We start from the raw sequence: 26733 nt of genomic DNA, 5'->3' as shown, positions 1-26733 counted from the left end.
TGTATAAACATTCCCTTTGTGCCACAACCTTGCCAACATCTGTTATTTTTTGACTTTTTAATAACAGCCGTTTTGACTGGTGAAGGATGGTATCTCATTGTGGTTATGATTTGCATGATGATCTCTGATGATCAGTGATATTGAGCACTTTTGTTTTACATAATTTTTGACCACTTGTAGGTTTTCTTTTGAGAAGTGTCTATTAGTGTTCTTTGCTCACTTTTTAATGGGGTCGTTTTTCTCTTGTTAATTTGTTTAACTTCTTTATAGATTCTGGATATTAGTCCTTCGTCAGATGCATAGTGTGTGAATATTTTCTTCCATTCGGTAGGTTGTCTGTTTATTCTGTTGATAGTTTCTTTTGCTGTGCAGAGGCACTTTAATTAGATCCCATTTGTCAATTCTTGTTTTTGCTGCATTTGCTTTGAGAAGTTAGTCATAAATTCTTTGCCTAGGCCAATGTCCACAAGAGTATTTCCTAGGTTTTCTTCTAAGATTTATATAGTTTGAAGTCACTCATGTAAGTCTTTAATTCATCCTGAGTTAATTTTTGTATATGGTAAGAGGTAAGTGTCCAATTTCATTCTTCTGCATATGGTTAGTCAATTTTTCCAGAACCATTCATTGAATAAGGAGTCCTTTCCCTGTTGCTTATTTGTGCCGACTTTGTTAAAGATCAGTTGATTGTAGGTGTGTGGCTTTATTTCTGGGCTCTCTATTCTGCTCCATTGGTCTATGTGTCTATTTTTATACCAGTACCATACTGTTTGTGTTACTGTAGCCTTCAAGTGTAGTTTGAAGTTGGCTAGTGCGATGGCTCCAGCTTTGTTTTTTCACCTAGGAATCCTTGGGCTATTTGGGCTCTTTTTTGGTTCTATATAAATTTTAGGATAATTTTTTCTAGTGCTGTGAAAAATGATATTGGTAATTTGATAGGAATAGCATTGAGTCTGTAGTTTGCTTTGGGCAGTATGGACATTTTAACTATATTGATTCTGGAAGGAGAGTTTTCAAGTGCTTACCTGATAGCCTCAATTTTCTCTCTGAAGAGTCAACCAGTTTATCTGCTAAGAGAAGAGGGAGCAATAATTAGGAAGGTGGTTTGACCAGAGTACGATTTGAAATATTTGCTCTGCTGGTAAGGCCCAACTGAACGTAAAGACCATAACTTTGGAGTGGCACACATTTATTTATTTAATTTTGTCATTCCTTCTAACCATGCTCAGAAACTAGGGGGAGAAGAGAAGATGGTATATGATCACATTGACACAGGACTGAGAATTTGATTGACAATATGGTAGGAGAACAAAAGATTGGGATAATAAAGGCATTAGCAATAAAATAACTAAAGTGATGGACTATGTGTTCCAATGGATAGAAAAGAAAGTATTGGCAGGAGGAAACTGATAGTGGAAAAAATAAGGGACAAAGAACTAGAGGGTCCTGATGAGATTAAAGTATCATGTGTGGGCTAGGAGCAGTGGCTCACGCCTTAATCCCAGCACTTCAGGAGGCCAAGGCAGGCGGAGGTCAGGAGTTTGAGACCAGCCTGGCCAACATGGTGAAACTCCATCTCTACTAAAAATACAAAAGTTAGTTGGGTGTGGTGGTGGGCACCTGTAATCCCAGCTACTTGGGGAGCTGAGGCAGGAGAATTGCTTGAACCCAGGAGGCAGAGGTTGCAGTGAGCCGAGGTAGCGCCATTGCACTCCAGCCTGGGTGACAAGAGGAAAACTCTTGTATGTGTGGTAGGCCTAAGGAAGGGAAAATTGGACTGATAGAAAGTTAGAGGCAAAGATTTGTATATTAGAGTTTAGGATGTCAGGGGTAGAATGTTTCCTTTTAATGATCAGCTCTAAGATGTAGCCACAACACATGTTATGAAATTGGGCCTATAGAAGATGGTCAAGAAAATTTTCAGTGATAGTAATAACATACAGTTTTCATCTGTGTGATATTTTGCAGATTGCAAAGCACTTTCATATCCACGATCTCAGTTGACCTCATCCTATGATAAGGATAGAGCAGGAATTATCTTAATTATTATCTTAATTTTATACTTGAAACAATTGAGGCTTGAAGATATTAAGTGTCTTATCAGGCTAGTTACATAAAGGAAATTTCAACTGGGATGAAATACTAGCATCTGGATCAAAGGTGAAAAGACTCCATTTATTTCTACCAATTCAGACAATGCAGTGTTATACATACACTGAATGAATATTCTGGATGGCATTGATTTGGCAAAACAAAAACAAACCAATACAGCAATAACTGCTCCCTTGGAAAAGTTGGTGGATTCAAAATCATGAGGTTCCCTCACCCCCCATCCTGAGCCAAACAAAACATTCTTTACCTGCTCAGTCATACCTGGTAATTTCACAACGATTAGGTGATCGTGTTCCCTGACTCTCATCGGCAGCAGGGCTCCTGGAAGTCCTGCTTCTCATTACTACTGTGGACTGGAGCCTCCCCAGAGCTCCCTGGGGTCCTTGGCCTGGGTGAAGATGGATGAAGATCAGATCCAGCAGCTGTGGGTAGAGGAGGGTCCAGGAAGCAGGCACAAAGAGAGGTAATTCATCCACATGGCAAAACAGAGCATGATCTGGGGAAGCTGGAGGCCTCCCAAACAGGGTAAGAGAGAGCGATACCCTTCCATTTTCAGCTCAGATTTCTCTTTTGCCTCCCTTGCTCCATGTGGGCCTATTCTAGTCCCAACCTAGGTGTCAGATTCCCTCTCAACCGCTGGTTGTTCACTGGTTCCTCAACCAGAACCCACATCTTGGCCTATGAAAGTTATTAACTCCTTCCCTTCTACCCTTTTCTGTTTCTGCTCACCAGGAAACAGTGGTTCCGCCAACCACTGTGGTGTTTGGAAGGACTAAACTGGATTTGACTTTATTTTGGCCACTGTTTTGCTCTGTGAGTTTGTATATGCGACTCTTGATCTCTATAGCTAATTTTCTCATCAGTGAAATTGTTGGTTGAACTACCCATAACTGGCAAATAGGTCTCTTTATAAACACCAATTCAGAAATGCTGTTAGTGGCTTCTTGGGTCTCTGTGTAGAGAAGGATCCTGAGGTATGCCGAGGTTCAGGAGAGCTAGCACAGTGGGACCCCATTGCCTGTAGAACAGTTGCTCTCAAACTGTAGTGTACAACTCATTATCTGGAGAGCTCATTATAACACAGATTGCTGGGTCCCACACCCAGAGTTTCTGATTCAGTAGGTCTGGGGTGTGGTCTGAGAATTTGTATTTCTAACAAATCCCCAGGTAAGGCTGATGCTGCTGGTCCAGGGACCATGCTTTAGAAACACCACTGTGGTATTTAATTTCTTATGGCTCAGTTTGGTTTTCTTGAAACAATGTCAGCCTCATCACCAGCTAGCTGACGCGAATAGACATAGGGATGCAAACTTCTTTAAGGGAGTTTAGAGATTTATTAAATAAAACAAGTTGCCCATCTGGCTTTAAAAAACAGAGTAGTACACCTCTAAGCATAAAATTCTATGATTTTGTAGTTCATATTTAACTAGTATGGTGAGACAGAAAATCTATGGGCTTTTGAGTCAGATTTAGCCGAGTTTAATCCTGGCTCTATGGTTTAACTATTTGACCTTGGACCAGTTACCAAACTCCTCACCTTTAATTTACACAGTAAATTCACAATCTTTTTGTTTTCTCTCATTGTTCTATGCTCAATGTCTAATTTATAGAAGGCAATCAAAAATATTCTTTGAATGAATATGCAATAATCTGTAATAGACAAATCTATAGACCCGCAGAAATTATTTTCTCTTTTTGTCCTCTCAGGGTGTGGGGATTAACGAATAAATTCTAAAGGAGCTTTCAAGAACAGAAAGCCAAACACCAGATGTTCTCACTCATAAGTGGGAGTTGAACAATGAGAACACATGGACAAAGGGAGTGGAACATCACACACCAGGGCCTGTTGGGGAGTGGGGTGCTAGGGGAGGGATAGCATTAAGAGAAATACTGAATGTAGATGACAGGTTGATGGGTGCAGCAAACCACCATGGCACGTGTATACCTATGTACCAAACCTGCACATTCTGCATATGTACCTCAGAACTTAAAGTATATATAAAAAAAAAATGTCATCTTTAAATATGCAGGAAGTCTGAACTCTATATTATGACTCAACTGTGGTAAGAAAATGTAGCTTCTTCCTCTCTAAATCATTCTATGAGGCCAACATCATCTTGATACCAAAACCTGGCAGAGACACAACAAAAACAGAAAACTTTAGGCCAATATCCTTGATGAACTTTGATGCAAAAATCTTCAGTAAAATACTTGCAAACTGAATCCAGCAGCACATTAAAAAGGTTACTCACCATGATCAAGTAGGCTTTATCCCTGGGATGCAAGGTTGGTTCAACATATGCAAATCAATAAATGTGATTCATCACATGAACAGAACTAAAGACAAAAATCACATGATTATTACAATAGATGTAGAAAAGGCTTTTGATAAAATTCAACACCCCCTCATGTTAAAAACTCAATAAATCAGTATTAAAGGAACACATCTCAAAATAATAAAAGCCATCTATGACAAAATCATAGCCAACATATACTGAATGAGGAAAAGCTGAAAGCACCCCCCTTGAAAACTGGCACAAGCCAAGGATGTCCTCTCTCACCACTTCTATTCAACATAGTATTGGAAGTCCTGGCCAGAACAATTGGGCAAAAGGAAGAAGGAAAGGGCATCGAAATAGGAAAAGAGGAAGCCAAACCGTCCCTGTTTGCAGATGACATGATCCCATATCTAGAAAACCCCATAGTCTCTGCCCAAAATCTCCTTCAACTGATAAAAAAACTTCAGCAAAGTCTCAGGATACAAAATCAACATACAAAAATCACTAATACTCCTATACACCAATAACAGTCAAGCCAAGAGCCAAATCAAGAATGGAATTCCATTTACAATTGCCACAAAAAAATAAAATACCTAGGAATACAGGTAACAGGGAGGTGAAAAATCTCTATAAGAAGAGCTACAAAACACTGCTCAGAGAAATCAGAGATTACACAAACAAATGGAATAACATCCCAGAATCAATATTGTTAAAAATGGCCAACCCAAAGTATTTTACAGATTCAATACTATTTTTATCAAACTACCAATGACATTCTTCACAGAACTAGAAAAAAACTCTTTTAAAAATTATATGGAACCAAAAAAAAGAAAAAAGCCCAACAGCTGAGGCAATCCTGAGCAAAAAGAAAGCTGGAGGCATCATGCTACCCAACTTCGAAATATACTACAGGGCAACAGTAATCAAAACAGTACGGTATTGGTACAAAAACACATAAACCAATGGAACAGAATACAGAGCCCAGGAAAAAGGCTGCACACCTACAACTATCTGATCTTTGACAAAGTCAAAAAACACAAGCAATGGGAAAAAATACTCCCTTTTCAATAAATGGTGCTGCAATAACCATCTAGCCATATGCAGATGACTGAAACTGGACCCCTTCCTTACACCATATAAAAAAGTTAACCCAAGATGGATTAAAGACTTAAATGTAAAATCCAAAACTATAAAAATCCTGAAAGACAACCCAGGCATTATCATTCTGGACATAGGAATGGTCAAAGATTTCATGACAAAGACACTGAAAGCAATCACAACAAAAGCAAAAATGACAAATGGGACCTAATTAAACTAAAGAGCTTCCATACAGCAAAAGAACCTATCAATTGAATAAAAAGACAACGTACAGAATGGGAGAAAATTTTTGCAAACTATGCATCTGACAAAGGTCTAGTGTCTGGCATCTATAAGGAACTTAAACAAATTAACAAGAGAAAAATGAACAACTGTATTAAGAAGTGGGCAAAGGACATGAACAGACACTTTCAAAAGGAGACACACATGTGGCCAACAAGCTTATGAAAAAAAGCTCAACATCACTAATCATTAGAGAAATGCAAATCAAAACCGCAATGAGAGACCATCTCACATCAGTCAGAATGGCTATTACTAAAAAGGTAAAAATAACAGGTACTGGCAAGGTTGTGGAGAAAAAGGAGCACATATATATTGTCGGTGGGAGTATAAATTAGTTCCACCATGGTGAAAAGCAGTGTGGTAATTCCTCAAAGACCTAAAAACAAACAGCAATCACATTACTGGATATATACCAAAGGAATATAAATCATTCTATCATAAACACACATGCATGAGTATGTTCATTGCAGCACTATTCACAATAGCAATGACATAGAATCAACCTAAATGCTCATCACTGGTAGAATAGATAAAGAAAATGTGGTACATGTACACCATGGCATACTATGTAGCCATAAAAAAGAATGAGGTCATGTCTTTGTAGTGACATGAATGGAGTTGGAGACCATTATCCTTAGCAAACTAATGCCGGAACAGAAAACCAAATACCACATGTTCTCACTTATAAGTGGGAGCTAAATGATGAGAACACATAGACACATAAAGGGGAACAACACACACTGGGGGCCTACCTGAGGGTAAAGAGTGGGAAGAGGAAGGGGATCAGAGAAAATAACTAATGAGTACTAGGCTTAATACCTTGGTGATGAGATAATCAATACAACGAACCCCCATGACACGAGTTTACTTATGTAGCAAACCTGCACAAACCTGCACCTGAACTTAAAATATAAGTTAAATAAATAAAAAGGGAAAAAAAAAGAAAATGTAGCTTCTTTATTTTCCATAATGTCTCTAATCTTTCTGATGAAACTCACTCTTCTGCTTCACAGTCAGGAGTGGGAGGAGGAACATCTAAATGGTGAAAGTTATCTTTGTTTTAGTTCTTTTGAGGGATTTCTTCTTCTTCTTTTTTTTTTTTTTTCCAAAATGTTTAGTTTTCCAGAACTTACTCTCCCCTTCTCCTCTTTTGTGGCTCCATGTAAAGATGTGACCATGTGATCCCAGGATAACCCAGGAAAGGACCACTCACTGGGCTGTGTGGTTTGTGGTTGGTCTTCTCTTGCCTCTGGGATGTTGATTATTGAGGGGCAACTTGTTCATTCTGGCTCTTTGGAGCATCTTTGGAGACACCACTGCAGGGATGCACTATCTTGGCCATTTGGTTACTAAGTCCAAGCTCACTGTGGCCTCTTTGTCCTTATCTTGGATTCCTGCAGCTCTCTTAGCCCTCTCAGGACCACGGTGTCACCTCATCTGTGTAAGAAGAATTTCTGGACTCATGCCTGTGATGTAGGCAGGGTATTTGTTCATATCTAAAGTACAACTATACTCAAAAAATTCAATGTAGCTTATTGGGAAGAACTCAGGAGTAAGTTCCAGAAGACCTGTTATATTGCCAAGTTGATCATTCTATAGAAGCCCTATTCATGTCCTTTCATTACCTCTTACATGCTGTGGGATGTCAAAATCATTGCTTAGTTTCTTGCACATTCATTTCTTCATTTCTACCAAGAGGATTATATAGCAATGTTAAAGAACTGATGTGTTGATAAAAAGAAATGTTATTTGTAACAATTCTCGATGAAAAGCAGAGCTCTCATTCCTTGGCAGATGTTTTCTGAGAAGTTACTATGTGTACTAAGTTCTGGGGTAATAAGATACCCTCCTATATCCTCATGATATTCACAACCTTGTGGGGTGTCTGACTCACCGACTGATCATGACAGAGAAGCACAGGGATTGTGGGATGTCACACTGAAACACAAGAGCCTGTGTCACCTCAGATGTGTTGCTTCAGTTCTCAGAGCCTCTGTGTCCTCATATGTCATGGAAGTAATACAAACATCTTAATAACTGTGTGTGTATGTGTGTGTGTGTGTGTGTGTGTGTGTGTGTGCATGAAGGTTAAATAAAAAGGGAATAAAGGCATTTTGTTACCAATAAAGAAGGAATCATAAGAATTAAAATTAGAATATTAATTATAATAAGTATATTCTTCCTTTCATGGAACCACAGCCATCTTAGAGTTGCAAAAAAGAGATAATCATCGTTAATCAAAACTCAAAGAAAATAAAGGGAAATGTACTCAAATTTAAAAAGACAAATACTTAAAACATATTTTTTGTTTTAATTTTGAAAGAAAAAGCTCTGTAAGTTTAAGGATTAGAAGTGGGGATCTGGAGTTGTGCGGAGGGCTCTGGAGCCTCTTAAAACAGGGAACTTAATGTGAAGAGTAGGGAATATAGAATGATCAGCTTGGCAATATAACAGATGCCTCATCTCATGCAGAGCCTAAAAAAAAGCCTCCCCATATGCTGCAAATGCCATATTTTTAATTTGCCAAGGAACTCTAACCTGTTTTATGTGAGCCATATAATTAATATGTAATAGCATATTTGGTTGAGTAGACATAGTATTTAATCTTTGAATACACATAGGGTATTGTCACTGTGGAACCAGGCGCAAGAATGAAGAAATGACTGAACACATCTGAACCTTTAGGCTGAAGGGTTTTTCAAGGTGGAGGAAGTGGCTACTTAGGAAAGAAGATCCATTACTGAACGTTTACATATTATGGCTATAGGAGCATAGACATTTCCAGCTGAGAAGGATCTTAGAAATTAGCAAGTCCAATCCCTTTTTACACAGATAGGCAAGGACCCAGTTGCAGGTAAGGGATTGTGGTTCAACAATAATAACATCAACAACACAAACAGCAAGAGCAGCAGCAGCTACCAATATTTCCTGAGTATTCCTTCTGTGCTAGTATTGGTAGTGCTTAGCATGGATCCTAGAAGCTCCCACTGTGCATGTGGTTCCTGGACTCACTCTTCCCCAGCTTTAGGAATTGAGTACAGCTGAATCCCAGTCCTCCTATGGCAACTAAGCCAGGCCAAGGTGTTCAGTCACTGAAGCTGCTGGAATTTTCACTATCTTAGTTCATGTGAGTCATGCCCTCCTGCATGAGGCTCAGCACCCACTCTGTCAAATGGATCTCCCCACTAGGGCACCCATCCCTGTTTTTTATTTTGCTATTTTTATTTTATTTTATTTTATTTTATTTTATTTTATTATTTTATTTTATTTTATTTTATTTTATTTTATTTTATTTTATTTTATTTTATTTGAGACAGAGTCTCGCTCTGTTGCCCAGGCTAGAGTGCAGTGGCATGATCTTGGCCCGCTGCAACCTCAGTCCCTGGGGCTCAAGTGATTCTCCTGTCTCGGCCTCCCAAGTAGCTAGGATTACAGGCACCCGCCACCATACTTGGCTAATTTTCGTATTTTTAGTAGAGATGGTGTTTTGCCACATCGTCCAGGCTGGTCTTGAACTCCTGGCCTCAAGTGATCCTCCCCCCTCGGCCTCTTAAATTTCCATCCCTGTTTTTAACTGTTAACACCCAAAATATAACTTACTTTGGTGGTTGTCTGCTGCCCTATAGCCTTTAACTATACCACCCTCACCATAAGGCTAGGCAAAGCTCTCATCTTCAACCCATCTCTCTACTTCTCTGATACCTTTTAAATTCATCCTTTCTATTCTGAAGACTTGCCACTCCAGAATCAGCAAAGTCCTCTCTACTCCCGGTCTATTCTCAGAATGTTCTACTCACTCCTTCCCTTAACTGAGACCGGGCTTTTTCCTGCTGGATTTTACTTCCCAGACAGCCCTCACATGCAGGATCTTTTTATTCTCTCCCATTTTCTTCCATGAACCCCAGGACTAGAGTGGATTTGTTGAGTCCCTTATGTCCCATTTCTGCTTCCAGATTTCTGTTTCTTCATCATCTTGTAAAAATTCTGTTCCCATTAGGCCTGTGCCTGTTGGTATACCACCCTCCCCTCGTCACTAGTATCTTCAACTCTTGCGGTTTCTCCCACACCCTTGTTGAACATCACAGACTAAATGAGTCCTCCTTGCCATCCCAATCCCTTCCCTCATCCCAGGTGATCGTCCCATCTCTGTGGGGATGGAGTCAACCAACAGCCTGCCCTCTCACTTGCTACGCTCCTTTCTCCTTTACTTCATTTCAGATATCCCCTCTGTCACTCCAACTTTTTACTTTGCCACCATTCAAAATATTCTCAAATTTGAAATAACTAGTTCAAGCAACCTGCTTTGTCTCCATCACTTTGTGCCTTTCCAGTTTGTTTGTTAATTTGCTATTAGTCCAAATATTTTTTAACCTCTTTGGAACCTGCTGTGAATTGATCCTTCATTTCTACAATCTGTCAGACCTCTTAATCTTTTTAGCTTCACTCCTTATGATTTAGACTCAGTAAGTCCATTGTCTCCGTAACTCTCCTGTCAACACCCCTCTCCCTTTCTTTTGTATCACAGCTACTTGGCAAAATTTGAACTCTGGATTAATTCCTCTATCTGCTTTCTCTTCACCTGCATCAGAGAAGCTGACTGCTGCTGGAGAAAGTCAATTGATGGGGAAAACCTGTATCTCTCTCAGGACATTGTAGGGAAATCATAGAAAACTCAAACTCAACTCAAAGCGACCTTTGATTTGGGTTAAACAAAAAAAAGGAATTACTGATGAATGTAACCAAAAAGTCCAGAAGCAGGGCTGACATTAAGAAATCTTTAATCTAAGATTTCTTTAATTTAAAGGCCAAAATGATGTCACTAACATAACAGTGTTATCTTCATTTGTTTCAGGTTTTGATTTTTTTTTTCCATTCTCTCTTGCCTCTGCTTTCCTGGGTGACACCACCATCCTCAGCTTTACACAGTGCCTCTGACATCTCTGAGTACCCCACTGTAATGACTGCTGACTGCAGTACCCAGTGCCATATTGTCACACCATATTGTGCAGGGAATGGGAGACCTTTCAGGGAAGCTTCATTTTCTCCAAAGCACCTGTGAATGTCTCCTTGCATCTCATTGGCTCTGATTGGCTTACACCTTCATTCCTGACCAATCACTGTGGTCTGGGGATAGGCTATGCTGGTTGGCCTAAACTAATCAGGGCCTAAACCAGGAGCTGAATATGCAAAAGGGAAAGATGTCTCAAAGAGAAGTTGGAGGATCTGTTCTATCTTCTATTGAAGGCCAATTCCTCCACTTCTTTTTGAATTCCACCCCCTTCCTGCTGTTTCTTCACCTGCCTGCCACACCCCTAGTATCCATTCCAAAAGAGAGCCCAACCACTGTCAAATTTGCTTCCAGAATTTCCCTGAATGCATGTACCTGCTCATCATCTCTGCTGCTATTACTCTTGTTCCAGCTCTTCTGTATCCACTCTGGCCTTCTTCGGTTTCATCACCACAATGTAGCCAGTGTCATCATCAAACATATAGATATGTACATATTAATTCCATATTTGAAAGCTCCCCAGTGAATTTCCATTGGTTCTATGATAAAGACAGAAATCTTTGCAGAGCTTATAAGGACCCTACCTGATCTAGAATCTCCCTATGTCCATAGCCTGATTTTACACTACTTGTGTTTGTCCCCAATCATACTCTCCTCCTCTTTTGCTGAATTAGCTGCCTGTCAATATGCAAACTTTAGTCAAAGCTTATTCCTCAGGTAACCTTCCATGCATTCCTAGTTTTGAGAAGGTTTATCAGCCACAGATGCTCTCAAAACAGTGGGTCTTTCTTTCAGAGTTCAAACAGCTTGTAATTATTTGGTTGTTGGCATGATTGCTGATCAAGTCTCTTCCTCACTAATCTCTAAACTACATGACAGCAAATTTAGATCCTTCTGAAACTGGTTTCTTTTCTCATTATTTAATTCCCAGCAATTAGCAGGCAGCTTACATATATTAAATTTATTCATGTGAATGAATAAATTTCAAGTGATAAATCCATATGAAGTGGTTAACATAGTCCCTGACAAATGGTAAGCGTTCTGAAGTGGTAGGTATTATGACCATATTGTTGTTATTGTTGTTGTTATAATTCCCTATTATTACAGAAGTATTTTTCACGTTACATGCTTCGCCTTCACTCAATGAAAAAAAAAAATCAGTAGAATTGTCTACAAACATTGAGCACAAAAGCCACTGGTGATGTACAGCTCTGCATTTGCTAATCAGAGATCAACAGTTGCATGTTAGGTAGCTTGAGATAACAAAATTTCTGAAGAAGGGACATGTTTCCCTCCTCCATACAAACAAGGAGAAAACCAACTAAATGGCTTAATGCTGCTCCATATAGCATATACACCTTAATTCATTGTCAGAAACATTTTATAATTTCTTCATGTCTTTATTTTAAAATAGAAACATACTGGCTGGGCATGGTGGCTCACGCCCGTAATCCCACCGCTTTGAAAGGCTGAGGCAAGCTGATTGCTTGAGGCCAGGAGTTCGAGACCAGCCTGGCCAACATGGCAAAATCTGGTCTCTACTAAAAATGCAAAAATTAGCCAGGTATGGTGGTGGGCGCCTGTAATCCCAGCTACTCAGCAGGCTGAGGCGGGAGAATCGCTTGAACCCAGGAGGCAGTGGGCCGAGATTGCACCACTGAACTCCAGTGTGGGTGACAGAGTGAGACTCTGTTTCTAAATAAATAATTAGGAAAGTACTGAGAAACCACCTCGTCCTAGATATCATTAGTCACCAAGCCTCTTTCTAAATAATCACACACCTGATTCTCTCTATAAAATGTTGCTTGTGTTAATTATGCTTCAAAATCATTACAACATAGTATAAATTTAATTAGGTTTGGAAAAAAGGAAAAAGATTCTAAAGAAATAAGCCAAAATATATATTTTGTCTCTGGATAGATGGATTTTTACATCATTTGTGTTTTCTCTTTATACTCTTCTAAAATTCTAAATTTCTAATTATTGTCCTGTAATTGTATTATAATCAGAAAAGGTAGACATAATATTTTAACTCTATATATCATATTTTGTATATACGATCTGATCACAATTATGTAAGAAATATATGTGGCAGAAGCAGACTGTAGAAAAATACAGCAAACTCTTAACAGAAGTTATCCCTGGGTATTACAACTATGTGATATTTTCTCTATTTTTAAAATGCAATCTTTTTATAATGGAAAATGATTTTTACTTTAAAGTGAAATAAATGTACATATAGGACATGGCCCTTGCCTTTGAGGAACTTGCAAAAATTCTTAGCACAGAATGGATGATTGAAAGTATAGTGGATTATAGAAGTTAGGCTGGAAAACATTTTACTAGAAGCCAAAATACTTGGAAAAATCAAGTTTTTCACTTAAAATATTGTAATGAGATAAATTGTCACTTGTCTTGCATAGATAACTTTAGAGTGGAAAGTAGTGCTAAAGCCAGGAAGTTGGCTGATTTCTTTTCCACCATGCAACATAAAGTCTAAGGAACTGAACAATGAAAAAACTATTTGTTAAAATTACTTGGATTAGGAAAATAAAATTAATTATTATGTCTTAAAATAAAGAAGCCCCAATTACTTTTTTAAAATAATTTTCACATAGTAGGCCCTCAATAAAATTTGAAATTCACAAATTATTTTCCTAGACATTTTATATTGGTAAGGGTACACATTGCCACATAACAGGTAAAAGTAGAATTCTTGACAATTATATAAATGTTTTTTCTCTACTGATCCAGGCCATATGAATCCTGTCTTGACTTCAGTGTTGACTCATAACCCATTTCTTCAAGGAAGCCTCCATGACTGCACTAGTGTATAGCCTTTGTCCCCTCCTATGACATCTATTAGCATTTTTTCTCTAAAGCTTGTTTGAAAATTTGTTATGTCTTTTATTAACCTGTACGTTTCCTTAAACAATCCTTTATAATAGTTAAACCTATTGCTATACAAAATCCTAATCCCCTTGTAAGATGACCTTAGGTTTGGATTGCTGCTCCTCTCACTTTTGTCCTTCTTAAGTAATTATTGTTCCCGACCTCCCCAAGTATTCATATTTCTGCTAAATTCCCCTATTTATTTTCTCAGCTCTTTTATTGATGTTTCTCAGTACCATTTTTCTGGCCACTGCCTTGTCTGTTCTCCAAAACAATACTGGTTGCCTTCCCTGATTACTATCCTGAGAATTCTTGGACTCTTGACCCCTGTTCAGCTCTATCCCCACTGAGTCCACTTTGATGCTTGGGTGGGACTGAAGCAATAGCCCTTGGCTGTCCAAGGACACTGTCTGCCCCTTGGGATATGAGATAGCATTTTGTATGTTTAAAAAAATAGCTTCTTGTGCCCAAGTTTTCTCGTCTGAACAGGAAAACAAAATCTTCCTCATACAGTTATTGTAAGGATTAAGTAAAATAATGCGTGTTAGCATCCATTAGTTACCTACTATATGGTAGGCACTATTTTGGATGCTTATATTTTTCTCCTTTCCTTTGGGATTATGAATTTTTGTTTTCCAAATTTTAAAACACAGATCCTACAATTTGTTACCAGGTATTTTTTGAAATAAGGAGTATGTGATAAGTAATTTTGGGAAACATGAGTTGAATTGGATTTAAAAGATTTCTCCTCAAGATCTAGAATTTGTCATGATTCTCTAGTGGAGTATACTAGGCAAATTCTCCCAAACACATTTGACGATGGATGTTAGCTTCTCACAGAATGTTTATAAAAAACTTGGATTAGAAGATCATGTTGCCAATCTGACTCCTCTTTATGCAAACCTCAAAATAAAGCTTCTGTTTTATTGACTGATATGCTAAGATAAATTATTTTTTTTAAAAACTATCTTTTACAATTGTGTACTCATATAAATCAAGCTTTCTCAATACTGTGCAACCAAAACAAAACAGGAAATGAAATTGGATGCTGAGGATGAAATAAGATGGCAACTTGGGAATCATAAACTTTAACGTCAAACTTCATGTGTTTAGTAAAACATCTTTATTCATCTCAGTTAATGACTTCATAAAACCTTAAAGTTACAAAAATTGAACTTATTGTGAAATTTTAAAAATTGGAATTAAAATTTCATCTCCAGTATGGAGTAGTGAGCTACCGCAAATAACAGAACTTGGGAAAAGATACAAAACACTAACTAACTTGAAAACTCTGGAGACTGAGCAAAAGCAGAAGGTTGTGGAGGAAAGTTGAAACACGAGATGAAGGAACCAAATGGAGCAAGTTCCGTGCTTTATGTGGCTTTATTTTGAAGGTACCCACAATCATAGTGTAGACAATGCCATGTAACTACAATTCTGATTTAAAAACCCTGACATATTTTTAGCCAAATAAAGCAGATAAAGCAAACCTGTGGCAACCATAGCCACCAGAGAGTGAGGAGGAAAGAGTCAAAGGATGGCAGCCCTAATTCAATGTTTAAACTCAGCTGAAATTTCCAAATAACCTCTGAACCATGCATTTGTGAGGAAATTGAAAGCAGCTTGCAACAAAGGATCAAATACCTCACCTTTTGAAAAGTGTCTATTCATGTCCTTTGCCCATTTTTCAATTGGATTGTTTGTTTTTTGCTTGTTGATTTGTTTAAGTTCCCTGTAGAGTCTAGATATTAGACTTTTGTCAGAGGCATAGTTTGCAAGTGTATTCTCCCATTCTGTAGGTTGTCTGTTTACCCTGTTGATAATTTCTTTTGCTGTGCAGAAGCTCTTTTGTTTAATTAGGTCATATTTGTCAATTTTGTTTTCGTTGCAATTGCTTTTGGTCACTTAGCCATAAATTTATTGCCAAAGCCAACATTAACAAGGGTATTTCCTAGGTTTTCTTCTATGATTTTTATAGTTTCAGGTCTTACATTTAAATCTTTAATCCATCTTAAATTAATTTTCATATACGTTGAGAGGTAGGGGTCCAGTTTCATTCTTCTGCATATGGCTAGACAATTTTCCCAGCACCATTTATTGAATAGACAGTCCATTTCACATTGCTTATTTTTGTTGTTTTTGTCAAAGACCAGATGGTTGTTGGTGTGTGGGTTTATTTCTGGGTTCACAATTCTGTTCTACTGATCTGTTTTTGTACCATACCAGTACCATGCTGTTTTGATTACTGTAACCTTACAGTATAGTTTGAAGTCAGGCAATGTGGTACCTCTGGCTTTGTTCTTTTTGCTTAGGATTTAGCTATTCAGGCTCTTTTTTTATTCCAAATGAATTTTAGAGTAGTTTTTTTCTAGTTCTGTGAAAAATAATGTTGGTATTTTGATAAGAATAGTATTAAATCTATAAATTGCTCTGGGCACTATGGCCATTTTAACTATATCGATTCTTCCAATCCATGATCATGGAATTTTTTTTTTAATTTGTGTATGTCATCTTTGATTTATTTTAGCAGTGTTTTGTAATTCTTGTAGAGGTCTTTCACCTCCCTGGTCAGATGGATTCCTAGGAATTTCATTTTCTTTGTGGCTATTGTAGATGAAACTGTGTTCTCAATTTGGTTCTCAGCGATAACATTATTGTTGTATAAAAATACTACTGATTTTTGTACATTGATTTTCAACAAACATGAAAAATGCTCAACATCACTAGTCATCAGAGAAATGCAAATCAAAACCACAATGAGATACCATCTCACACCAGTCAGAATGGCAATTATTAAAAAGTCAAAAACAACAAATGTTGGTGAGGTTGAGGAGAAAAGACAATGCTTATACATTGTTGGTGGGAATGAAAACTAGTTCAGTGACTATGGGAAGCAGTTCAGAGATGTCTAAAACAACTTAAAAAAATAGAACTACTATTTGACCCAGTAATCCCACTAAAAATACAAAAATTAACCGGGCATGTTGGTGCATGCCTGTAATCCCAGCTATTTGGGAGGCTGAGGCAGGAGAATCACTTGATCCCAGGAGGCAGAGGTTGCAGTGAGCTGAGATCATGCCAGTGATCTCTAGCCTGGGCGACAGAGTGAAACTCTGTCTCAAAAGAAAAGAAAGAAAAGAAAAGAAAAATAAATAAATAAATATACCTAACCAAAGAGGAGAAAGATCTCTATGAGGAAAACCACAAAACACTGCTGAAAGAAATCATAGATGACACAAACAAATGGAAATATATCCTATAGTCATGGATAGGTAGGTAGAATAAATATTGTAAAAATGACCATACCGCCAAAACCAATCTGCAAATTCAATGCAATTCTCATCAAAATACCATCATCAGTCTTCATAGAACTAGAAAAATCAATCTTAAAATTCACGTGGAACCAAAAAAGAGCTTGCATAGCCAAATCCAGACTAAACAAAAAGAACAAATCTGGAAGCATCACATTACCAAACTTCAAACCATACTACAAGGCTATCATTAGCAAAACAGCATGATGCTGGCATAAAAACAATCATGTAGACCAATGGAGCAGAATAGAGAAACCAGAAATAAAGCCAAATGCTTATAGCCAACTGATTTTTAACAAAGCAAACAAATACATAAAGCAGGGAAGAGGACATCTTATTCAACAAATTCGAGTGCTGGACTAATTGGCAAATCACATGTAGAAGAATGAAACTGGATTCTCATCTCTCAGCTTACACAAAAATCAACTTGAGATGGATCAAAGACTTAAATGTAAGACCTGAAACCATAAAAATTCTACAATATAACATCAAAAAACTTTTCTAGATATTGGCTTAGGCAAAGGGCTCATGACCAAGAACCCAAAAGCAAATGGAACAAAAACAAAGATAAATAGATAAAACTTAATTAAATGTAAAAGATTATGCAGAGCAAAATAAATAATCATCAGAGTTAACAGACAACCCACAGAGTGGGAGAAAATCTTTGCAAACTATGCATCCAACAAAGGACTAAATATTCAGAATCTACAAGGAACTCAAACAAATTAGCAAGAAAACAATAAATAATCCCATCAACACGTGGGCTAAGGACATGAATAGGTAATTCTCAAAAGAAGATACACAAATGACCAACAAACATATGAAAAAAAATCTTAACATCACTGATTATCAGGGAATTCAAACTAAATCCATAATGGAATACTGGCTTACTCCTGTAAAAATGGCCATAATTTAAAAATCAATTAAAAATAAAAAAAATAGAATGTTCCACGTGTTGATGAAAAGACTGTATATTCTGCAGTTGTTGGGTAGAATGTTCTATAAATATCTATTAAGTCCATTTGTTCTAGGATAGAGTTTATGTCCATTGTTTCTTTGTTGTCTTTCTCTCTTGATGACCTGTCTAGTGCTGTCAGTAGAGTATTGAAGTCCCCCACTATTATTGTGTTGCCATCTATCTCATTTCTTAGGTCTAGCAGTAATTGTTTTATAAATTTGGGAGCTCCAGAGTTAGTTGCACATATATTTAGAATTATGATATTTTTCTGTTGGACTAATCCTTTTATAATTATATAGTGTCCATCTTTGTATTTTTTAACTGCTGTTTTTTTTGTTGTTGTTTGTTTGTTTGTTTTGAGATGGAATCTCACTCTGTCGCCCAGGATGGAGTGCAGTGGTGTGATCTAGGCTTACTGCAAGCTCCACCTCCCAGGTTCATGTCATTCTCCTGGCTCAGCCTCCTGAGTAGCTGGGACTTCAGGCACCTGCCACCAAGCCTGGCTAATTTTTTTGTATTTTTAGTAGAGACAGGGTTTCACCGTGTTAGCCAGGATGGTCTTGATCTCCTGAACTCATGATCTGCCTGCCTTGGCCTCCCAAAGTGCTGGGATTACAGGTGTGAGCCACCATGCCTGGCCTAACTGCTGTTGCTTTAAAGTCTGTCTGATATAAGAGTAGCTACTCCTGCTTGCTTTTGGTTTCCATTTGCATGGAATATCTTTTTCCATCTCTTTACCTGAAGTTTATGTGAGTCCTTATGTGTTAGGTAAGTCTCTTGAAGACAACAGATACTTGGTTGTTTGATTTCTATCCATTCTGGCTTTCCATATCTTTTTTTTTTTTTTTTTTTTTTTTTTTTTTGAGATGGAGTCTCGCTCTGTCACCCAGGCTGGAGTGCAGTGGTGCAATCTTGGCTCACTGCAACCTCCGTCTCCTGGGTTCATGGGATTCTCCTGCCTCAGCCTCTCAAGTAGCTGGGACTCCAGGCATGTGCCACCATGCCCGGCTAAGTCTTTTTGTATTTTTAGTAGGGACGGAGTTTCACCATGTTAGCCAGGATGGTCTTGATCACCTGACCTTGTGATCCGCCCGCCTTGGCCTCCCAAAGTCTGGGATTACAGGCATGAGCCACTGTGCTGGGCCCATTCTGTATCTTTTAAGTGGTGCATTTAGACCATTTACTTTCCATGTTAGTATTGATATGTACGGTACTGTTCTATTCATTATGCTAGTTGTTGCCTGGTCACCTTTTTGTGCGTGTGTGTGTGTGTGCACGAGCGCGCGTGTGTGTGTGTTATAGTTTTATAGGCCCTGTGAGATTTATGCTTTCAGGAGGCTCTATTTTTGTATATTTTGAGGTTTTGTTTCAAGATTTAGAAACAAATTTCTTTTAGCATTACTTGTAGTGTTTGCTTGGTAGTGGTAAATTCTCTCAGCATTTGCTTGTCTGAAAAAGACTTCGTCTCTCCTTCATTTATGAAGCTTAGTTTCACTGGATACAAAATTCTTGACTGATAATTATCTTGTCAAAGAGGCTAAAAATAGGACTCCAATCCCTTCTATCTTGTAGGGTATCTGTTGGGACATTTGCTCTTACTCTGATAGGTTTTCCTTTTTGCCTCCCAGCTCTTAAGATTCTTTCCTTCGTCTTGAGTTTAAATAACCTGATGAGTATGTGCCTAGGCAATGATCTCTTTGTGATGAATTTCCCAGATGTTCTTTGAGCTTCTTGTATTTGGATGTCTAGATCTCTAACAAGAGCAAGGAATTTTCCTCAATTATTCCCTCAAATAAGTTTTCCAAACTTTAGAGTTCTCTTCTTCCTGAGGAACACCAATTATTCTTATGCTTGGTCATTTACCATAATCTCTAATTTATTGGAGCCTTGTTCATTTCTTGAAAATTCTTTTTTCTTTGTCTCTGGCAGATTTGGTTACTTCAAAAGCCTTGTCTTTGAGCTCTGATGTTCTTTCTTCTACTTGTTCAATTCTATTGTTGAAACTTTCCAGTGTATTTTGCATTTATCTAAGTGAATTTATCATTTCCAGAAGTTGCAATTGTCTTTTCATTGTGATATCTATTTCTCTGGAGACATTTTCATCCATATCATGTATTTTTTTTATTTCTTTAAGTTGGTTTTCACCTTTCTCTGGTACCTCTTTGAGTAGCTTAATAATCAACCTTATGAATCTTTATCTGGCAATTCAGAGATTTCTTCTTGGTTGGGATCCACTGATGGAGAGCTAGTGTGATTTTTGAGGGTTTTATAGAACCTTGTTTTCTCATATTACCAGAATTACTTTTCTGATTTTTTCTCATTTGGGTAGACAGTTTTAGTGGAAAGATCTAAAACTCAAGGACTGCCATTCAGATTCTTTTGTCCCATGGGGTGATCCCTTGATGTGGTGCTCTCCTCCTTCCCTTCATGACCAGGTTTCCTGAGAGCCAGAGTGTAGCAATTGTTTTTATCTTTCTGAGTCTAGCTACCCACTGGGGCTCCTGGGCTCCTGGCTGATGCTGGAGAATGTCTGCAAAGAGTCCTCTGATGTGATCTGTCTTCAGGTCTCCCAGCCATGAATACCCCCACCTGCTCTAGTGCAGGTGGCAGGGGAGTGAAGTGGACTCTGTGGGAGTCCTTGGTTGTAGTTTTGTTTAGTGCACTGGTTTTCTTGAATGCTGGTTATGCTAGCAGTGAAGTTGTCACACAGATAGACTCAGGACCTCTGATTAGCCATGGTGTTGCAGGCAGTAGAATTAACTGTTGTTTTTTCCTTATTTGTAGCAGAGTTGTTCTGTTTTGAGTTGCTGTAATGGCTTGAGTTAGTTGGCCTCCAGCCAGGAGGTGGCACTTTGAAGAGAGCACCAACTGTGGTAATAGAAGGGGGATATAAGCTTGTCCTACATTGGCCAGGATAAGTACTTGGGTTTCTCAGGCAATTGGCAGGGCCATAGAGTTCCCAAGTGTTCATGTCTTTTGCTTTGCCTACCAGGGCAGGTAGAGAAAAACCATCAGTTGGGGACAGGGTTAAGCAGGTCTGAGCTCAGACTTTCCTTGAGCAGGGCTTGATGTGGCCACTGTGGGGGATGGGTGTTGGTTCTCAGGCCAATGGAGTTATGTTCCCAGGGGGATTATGGCTGCCTCTGCTATGTCATACAGGTCACCAGGGAAGTGGGGAAAAGCCGGCAGTGACAGGCCTCACTTAGTTCCCACGCAGCCAGCAAGGCCAGTCTCACTCTCACTGTGCCCCACTAACAGCACCAAGTTTATATCCAGGCAGCCTGTGAGCAGGGCTGATATTTTGCCCAAGGCTACAAGCCTCCCTTCTGAGAAAGCAAGCAGGGCTCTCAGTCCTCTCCTTTCCCCACCTGCCCTCACCATCAACTGTCACTTCTGTGCTTGTATCTGCACTTCCTGTCTGCCCCCCTCAAACCCAGATTCTACTCAGGAAAATTCATGCTCAGTCAAAGTTATTACAAAATTTAATTGTAATAAACTAGAAGCTTCCTTCACCTTGTGGCCCCTGCCCAATTTCACTGGCTGCTTTCTCCAAGGACCCCTTTGAGGTAATAAAGCCAGGGATGGCTTTCCTGGGCTCGAGCTGATGACCAGGAGTGCCTACAGGGCTCTTCCTTCTGCTGCTTCTGCTTTTATATTTCACTTGGCTCCCTATATCCATTTCAGCTTTAGGTAAGGTTAAATTCTTCTCCTATGATCTGGATTTCCATTTTCCTCAATGGGGATAAGAATTCAAAGTGGACTTTTCCCCCCCTCACACTTTGGGAACTCACAGGTTTTCAGCTGTCTCGGGAGTTCATAGTGGCAAACTGCTTCTTTCAAAGGGTCTGTGAATTCTTTTGGTTTTCCTGGTATGTCCCTGCAGTGGTTCTTGGAGCAAAACTTCACAGTGTGAGTCTCCACACACTGTTCTGTCCATCCAAGTGGGAGCTGCACGTTAGTCCTGTCACCTGTCCACAATTTTCCCCAGCCACCTGTGTTATATTCATTTAACCAGTGAGAAACATAGGCTCTGAGGTCACTGAGCTTGCTCAAGATCACACAAGGGTGGACTGCTGAGCCTACCTCTCAACCTCAACAGCTGTGGCATTCCATCCTTTGTCAGTCACTTCAACTTACCTCTCTTATTTCTTGGAATTTCTCCTATGACCAAAATGAACAAAAGTTGTATATCACTAAGGAGGAAAAGAAATATCTTGGGAGACTACCACGCAGGCCAATTTGAGGAGGATTTGGGAAGGGCAGCCTTCTTGGTGGAGGGGATTCTTTCTGTTGTTACCTCACCAGGACAGAAGTCACTCAATCTCCCTGTGATCAGTGATCCTTTGATGTTACTATTGGGATTGTTGTGGGTCACCACAAACCATACCCATATAAGACGGTGATGTTAATCAATAAATGTGTGTGTTCTGACTGCTCCACCAACCACCTGTTCCTCTGTCTCTTTTCCTTTCCTCAGGTATCCCTATTCTCTAAGAGGAAACGTTGAAATTAGACCATTTAATAACCTTATAATGGCTTCTAAGTGTTCAAGTGAAAAAAAGAGCCTAATGTTTCTCACTTTAAATCAAAAGCTAGAAATAATTAAGTTTAGTGAGGAAACCATGTTAAAGGCCAAGATAAGCTGAATACTAGGCACCTTCTGCCAAATGTTTAGCCAAGTTGTGAATGCAAAGAAAAAGTTCTTGAAGGAAATGAAAAGTTCTCCTCCAGTGAACACACAAATGATAGGAAAGTGAAATGACCTTGTTGCTGATATGGAGAAAATTTGAGTGATCTAGATAGAAGATCAAACCAGCCACAACATTCCTTTAAGTCTAAGCCTAATCCAGAGCAAGGCCCTAACTTTCTTTAATTTTGTAAAGTCTGAGAGAGGTAAGGAAGCTGCAAAGAAAAGTTGGAAGCTAGCAGAGGTTGGATCATGAGGTTTAAGAACGAAGCCATCTTCATATATAAAAGGGCAAGGTGAAGCATCAAGTGCTGATGTAGAAGCTGCAGCAAGTTATCCAGAAGATCTAGCTAAGATTATTGATGAAGGTGGCTACACTAAACAATTGATTTTCAATGTAGATTAAAACAGCTTTATTGGATGAAGATACCATCTTTCATAGCTAGAGAGAAAAAGTCAATGCCTGGCTTCAAAGCTTCAAAGGAGAGGCTGACCCTCTTGTCAAAGGCTACTGCACATGGAAACTTTAAATTAAAGCCATTGCTCATTTGCCATTTTGAAAATCCTATGGCCTTTCAAAATTATGCTAACTTTACTTTGTCTGTGCTCTAGAAATGTAACAAAAAAGTGTGGATAATAGCACATCTGTTTATAGTATGGTTTACTGAATATTTTAATGCCATTATTGAGACCTACTGCTCAGAAAAAAATACTTTAAAAATATTACTGTTCATTGACACACATAGTCACCCAATAACTCCAATGAATATGTAAAAGGAGAAAAGTGTTGTTTCCATGCCTGCTATCACAACATCCATTCTACAGTCCATGGCTCAAGGAGTAATTTTGACTTTCAAGTCTTATTATTTGAGAAATAAATTTCAAAGGGCTATGGCTGCCATAGATAGTGATTCCTCTGATGTATCTGGGAAATGTCAATTGAAAACCTTCTGGGAAGGGTTTATCATCTAGTTGCCATTAAGAACATGGGAAGAGGTTAAGATGTCACCATTAACAGGAGTTTGGAAGGAGTTGATTCAAGCCATCATGATTGACTTTGAAGGGTTCAAGACTTCAGTGGAGGAAGTAACTGCAAATATGCTAGAAATCGCAAGAGAATAAGAATTAGAAGTAGAGCCAGAAGATGAGACTGAATTTCTGTAATCTCATGATAAAATTTGAACAGATGAGGAGTTGCTTCTTACGGATGAGCAAATAATGTAGTTTCTTGAGATGAAATCTACTCCTAGTGAAGATACCATGAACATTGTTTAAAAGACAACAAATAGAATATTACATAAACTTAATTAATAAAGCAGCAGTAGGGTTTGAGAGGATTGATTCCAATTTTGAAGGGCATTTATCTCTCACTCTATATAAAAATCAACTCAAAATAGATTAAAATTCTAAGTATGAGACTTGAAACTATAACATTACTAGAAGCAACAGGGAAAACTATCCAGGACATTAGTCTGAGAAGTGATTTTATGAATAAGAGCTCAAACACGCAGGCAACAAAAACAAAAATAAATGGGATTACATCAAACCAAAAAGCTTCTGCACAATAAAGAGAACAATTGACACAGTGAAAAGGCAATGTACAGAATGAAAGAAAATATTTATAAACTATTCCTGTGACAAGGCTTCACATCCAGAATATACAAGAAACTCAAACATCTCAAAAGCAATGAAATCAAACAATTCAATTAAAAAATTAGCAAATGATCTGAATAAACATTTCTAACAAGAAGATATACAAATAGCCAACAAATATATGAATAAATCCTCAACATCACTAATCACAAAGAAAATGAAAATCAAAGCCACAATAAGGTATAATCTCACCTCAGTTAAAGTGGCTATTAACAAAAAGAGAAATCACAAATACTGTTGAGGTTGTAAGGAAAAGGGCACTCTTACATGCTGTTGGTAGGAATGTGGAAGAGTACAGCCACAATGGAAAAGAGCATAAAGCTTCCTCAAAAAACTACAAATAGAACTACCATATGATCTAGCAATCCCACTAGGTAGATATCTAAAAAAAAAAGGGAAACCAGTATATCACAGAGATATCTACACCCCAATGTTTATTGCAGCACTATTCACAATAGCCAAGATATGGAATCAACCCAAGTGTCCAACAACAGATGAATGGATAAGGAAAATGTGGCATATATACAGCATGGAATACTATTTATCCATAAAAAAAGAATGAAATCCTGTCATTCGTGGCAACATAGATGAGCCTGAAGGACATTATATAAAGTGAAATAAGCCAGAAGGAGAAAGTTGAACATCGCATGTTTTCCTTCACGTGGGGAAGATAAAAATCCCATAGAAATAAAGAGAATAGAGGTTACTAGAGGCTGGGAAGGGTAGGGAAAAGGGGGGAAACAAAGATATGTTAATGGAAACAAATTACAGCCAGATAGGAGGAATGTGTTCTATTGTTTTATAGCATTGTAGGATTACTATAGTTAACAGCACATTAAATTTTCAAATGGCAAGAAGAGAGGATATTGAATGTTTCCAATACAAAGAAATGATAAATGTTTGAGATTATCGGTATGCTAATTACCCTGATCTGACCACTATATATTGTATGTATCAAAATATCACTATGTACCTCATAAATGTGTACAAATATTATGTGTCAATTAAAAAATAAACATTTTAAAATTTGCTATCAAACAGCATTGCATGCTACAGACAAATCTTTCATGAAAGGAAGTAAAGCAATGGAGCAAACTTCATTGTTGTCCTATTTTAAGAAATTGCCACAGCCACCCCAACCTTCAGCAACCACACCCTGATCAGCCAACAGCCATCAACATGGGCAAAACTTTCCATGAGCAAAAAGATTAGGATTTGCTGAAGGCTCAAATGATCATTAACAATTTTTAGCAGCACAATTTAAAAAATTATCATATGTACTTTTTTTGACATGGTGTTATTGCATGCCAAATAGACTCCTGTGTAGTGTAAACATAACTTGTATATGCATTGGTAAACCAAAACCTTTGTGTGACTTGCTTTATTGTGATATCTGCTTTGTTGTGGTGGTCTGGAACTGAATCCACAACATCCCTGTGGTATGCCTGTAATGAAAAAGATACGGTCTCCAGAGGTCAGAGCCAAAGATAATGGAGATAAAAGTAGAGAGATGATACTCCCTGAGTGTGTAGTCAGGCTTTACTTAGGCACATTCTCTACTCTTAAGTAGGGGACCTTCAAGATTTCTGCCTGTTAGGATTTCCGATTTACTATTGAACAGTTTCTGCTATGTGTCTCCTGTAGTTTATCTTTCTAATGAAGTTATTTATTGTGGCTTTTCTGTTCTCTTGTATATTGGGTGTGTAGGGCACAGATGATTTATCTTTTTAGTACAAAGGTCTCCAGATCAAGAGAAACCAATTCTGGACCTGATAAAAAAACAACTTTGCACAAATGCTCTGATAAAAAGATTGCTGCATATAGCCCAGTATTTGAGCTGAATTGTCCCTCCTCCAAAAATCAAACGTTGAAGTCCTAACCCCCAATGTCTCAGAATGTAACTGCATTTGGAGATAGGGCCTTTAAATAAAGAGAAAATTAAGGTAAAATAGTATCATATAGGTTGTCCCTAATTCATCATGACTGTTGTCCTTATAAGAAGAGAAGATTAGGACACAGTCAGGCATAGAGGCAGGACTGTGTGAAGACAAGGGAGAAAAGACAGCTATTTACAATCCAAGGAGAGGGCCCTTGGAAGAATATCCTGCCAATATCTCCATCTTGGACTTCCAAAACTGTGCTTCCAGAACTGTGAAAAATATACTTCTGTTGTTTAGGTCACCCAGTCTGTGGTATTTGTTATGGCAGCCTCAGCAAATGAACACATCCAGATAACTTGAACTTTGTGTTGGATATAGTGGTTGGACAGACTTTTGGGGTGACTCCTTGAAGACGGGTGTGTGCGTATAATGTGTGCACAGCAGCAAGCAAGTAAAAATTCTGTCATTATAAAGGCTGGTTGTGTTAGTCATTAGAGCTATTTATTGATATCTCTGGTTCTTCTCTGTAGTAGTCACCTTCTTCTGGGTTATACTGCTACAACAAAAGACTCCAAA

The 26733-nt window shown here is 38.3% G+C and overlaps 1 long non-coding RNA gene across 4 annotated transcripts in view; it reads left to right on the top strand.

Moving 5' to 3' along the window:
- The first annotated feature begins 2407 nt into the window (after positions 1-2407).
- LOC105378741 (uncharacterized) overlaps positions 2408-26733 on the top strand; it is a 74511-nt gene continuing 50185 nt past the window's right edge. For 3 of the 4 annotated variants that reach the window (XR_001738066.2, XR_001738065.2, XR_001738063.2), the window contains exon 1: positions 2408-2634. This is a non-coding gene — a long non-coding RNA (uncharacterized LOC105378741). The remainder of the gene's footprint in view (positions 2635-26733) is intronic. The other variant, XR_001738064.2, reaches the window with a different exon arrangement.

This window comes from Homo sapiens, chromosome 1, assembly GCF_000001405.40.
Source record: "Homo sapiens chromosome 1, GRCh38.p14 Primary Assembly".
Taxonomy (NCBI): domain Eukaryota; kingdom Metazoa; phylum Chordata; class Mammalia; order Primates; family Hominidae; genus Homo; species Homo sapiens.
Note: the sequence above shows the minus strand (reverse complement) of the source record. Positions and strands in the feature narration are given on the sequence as shown.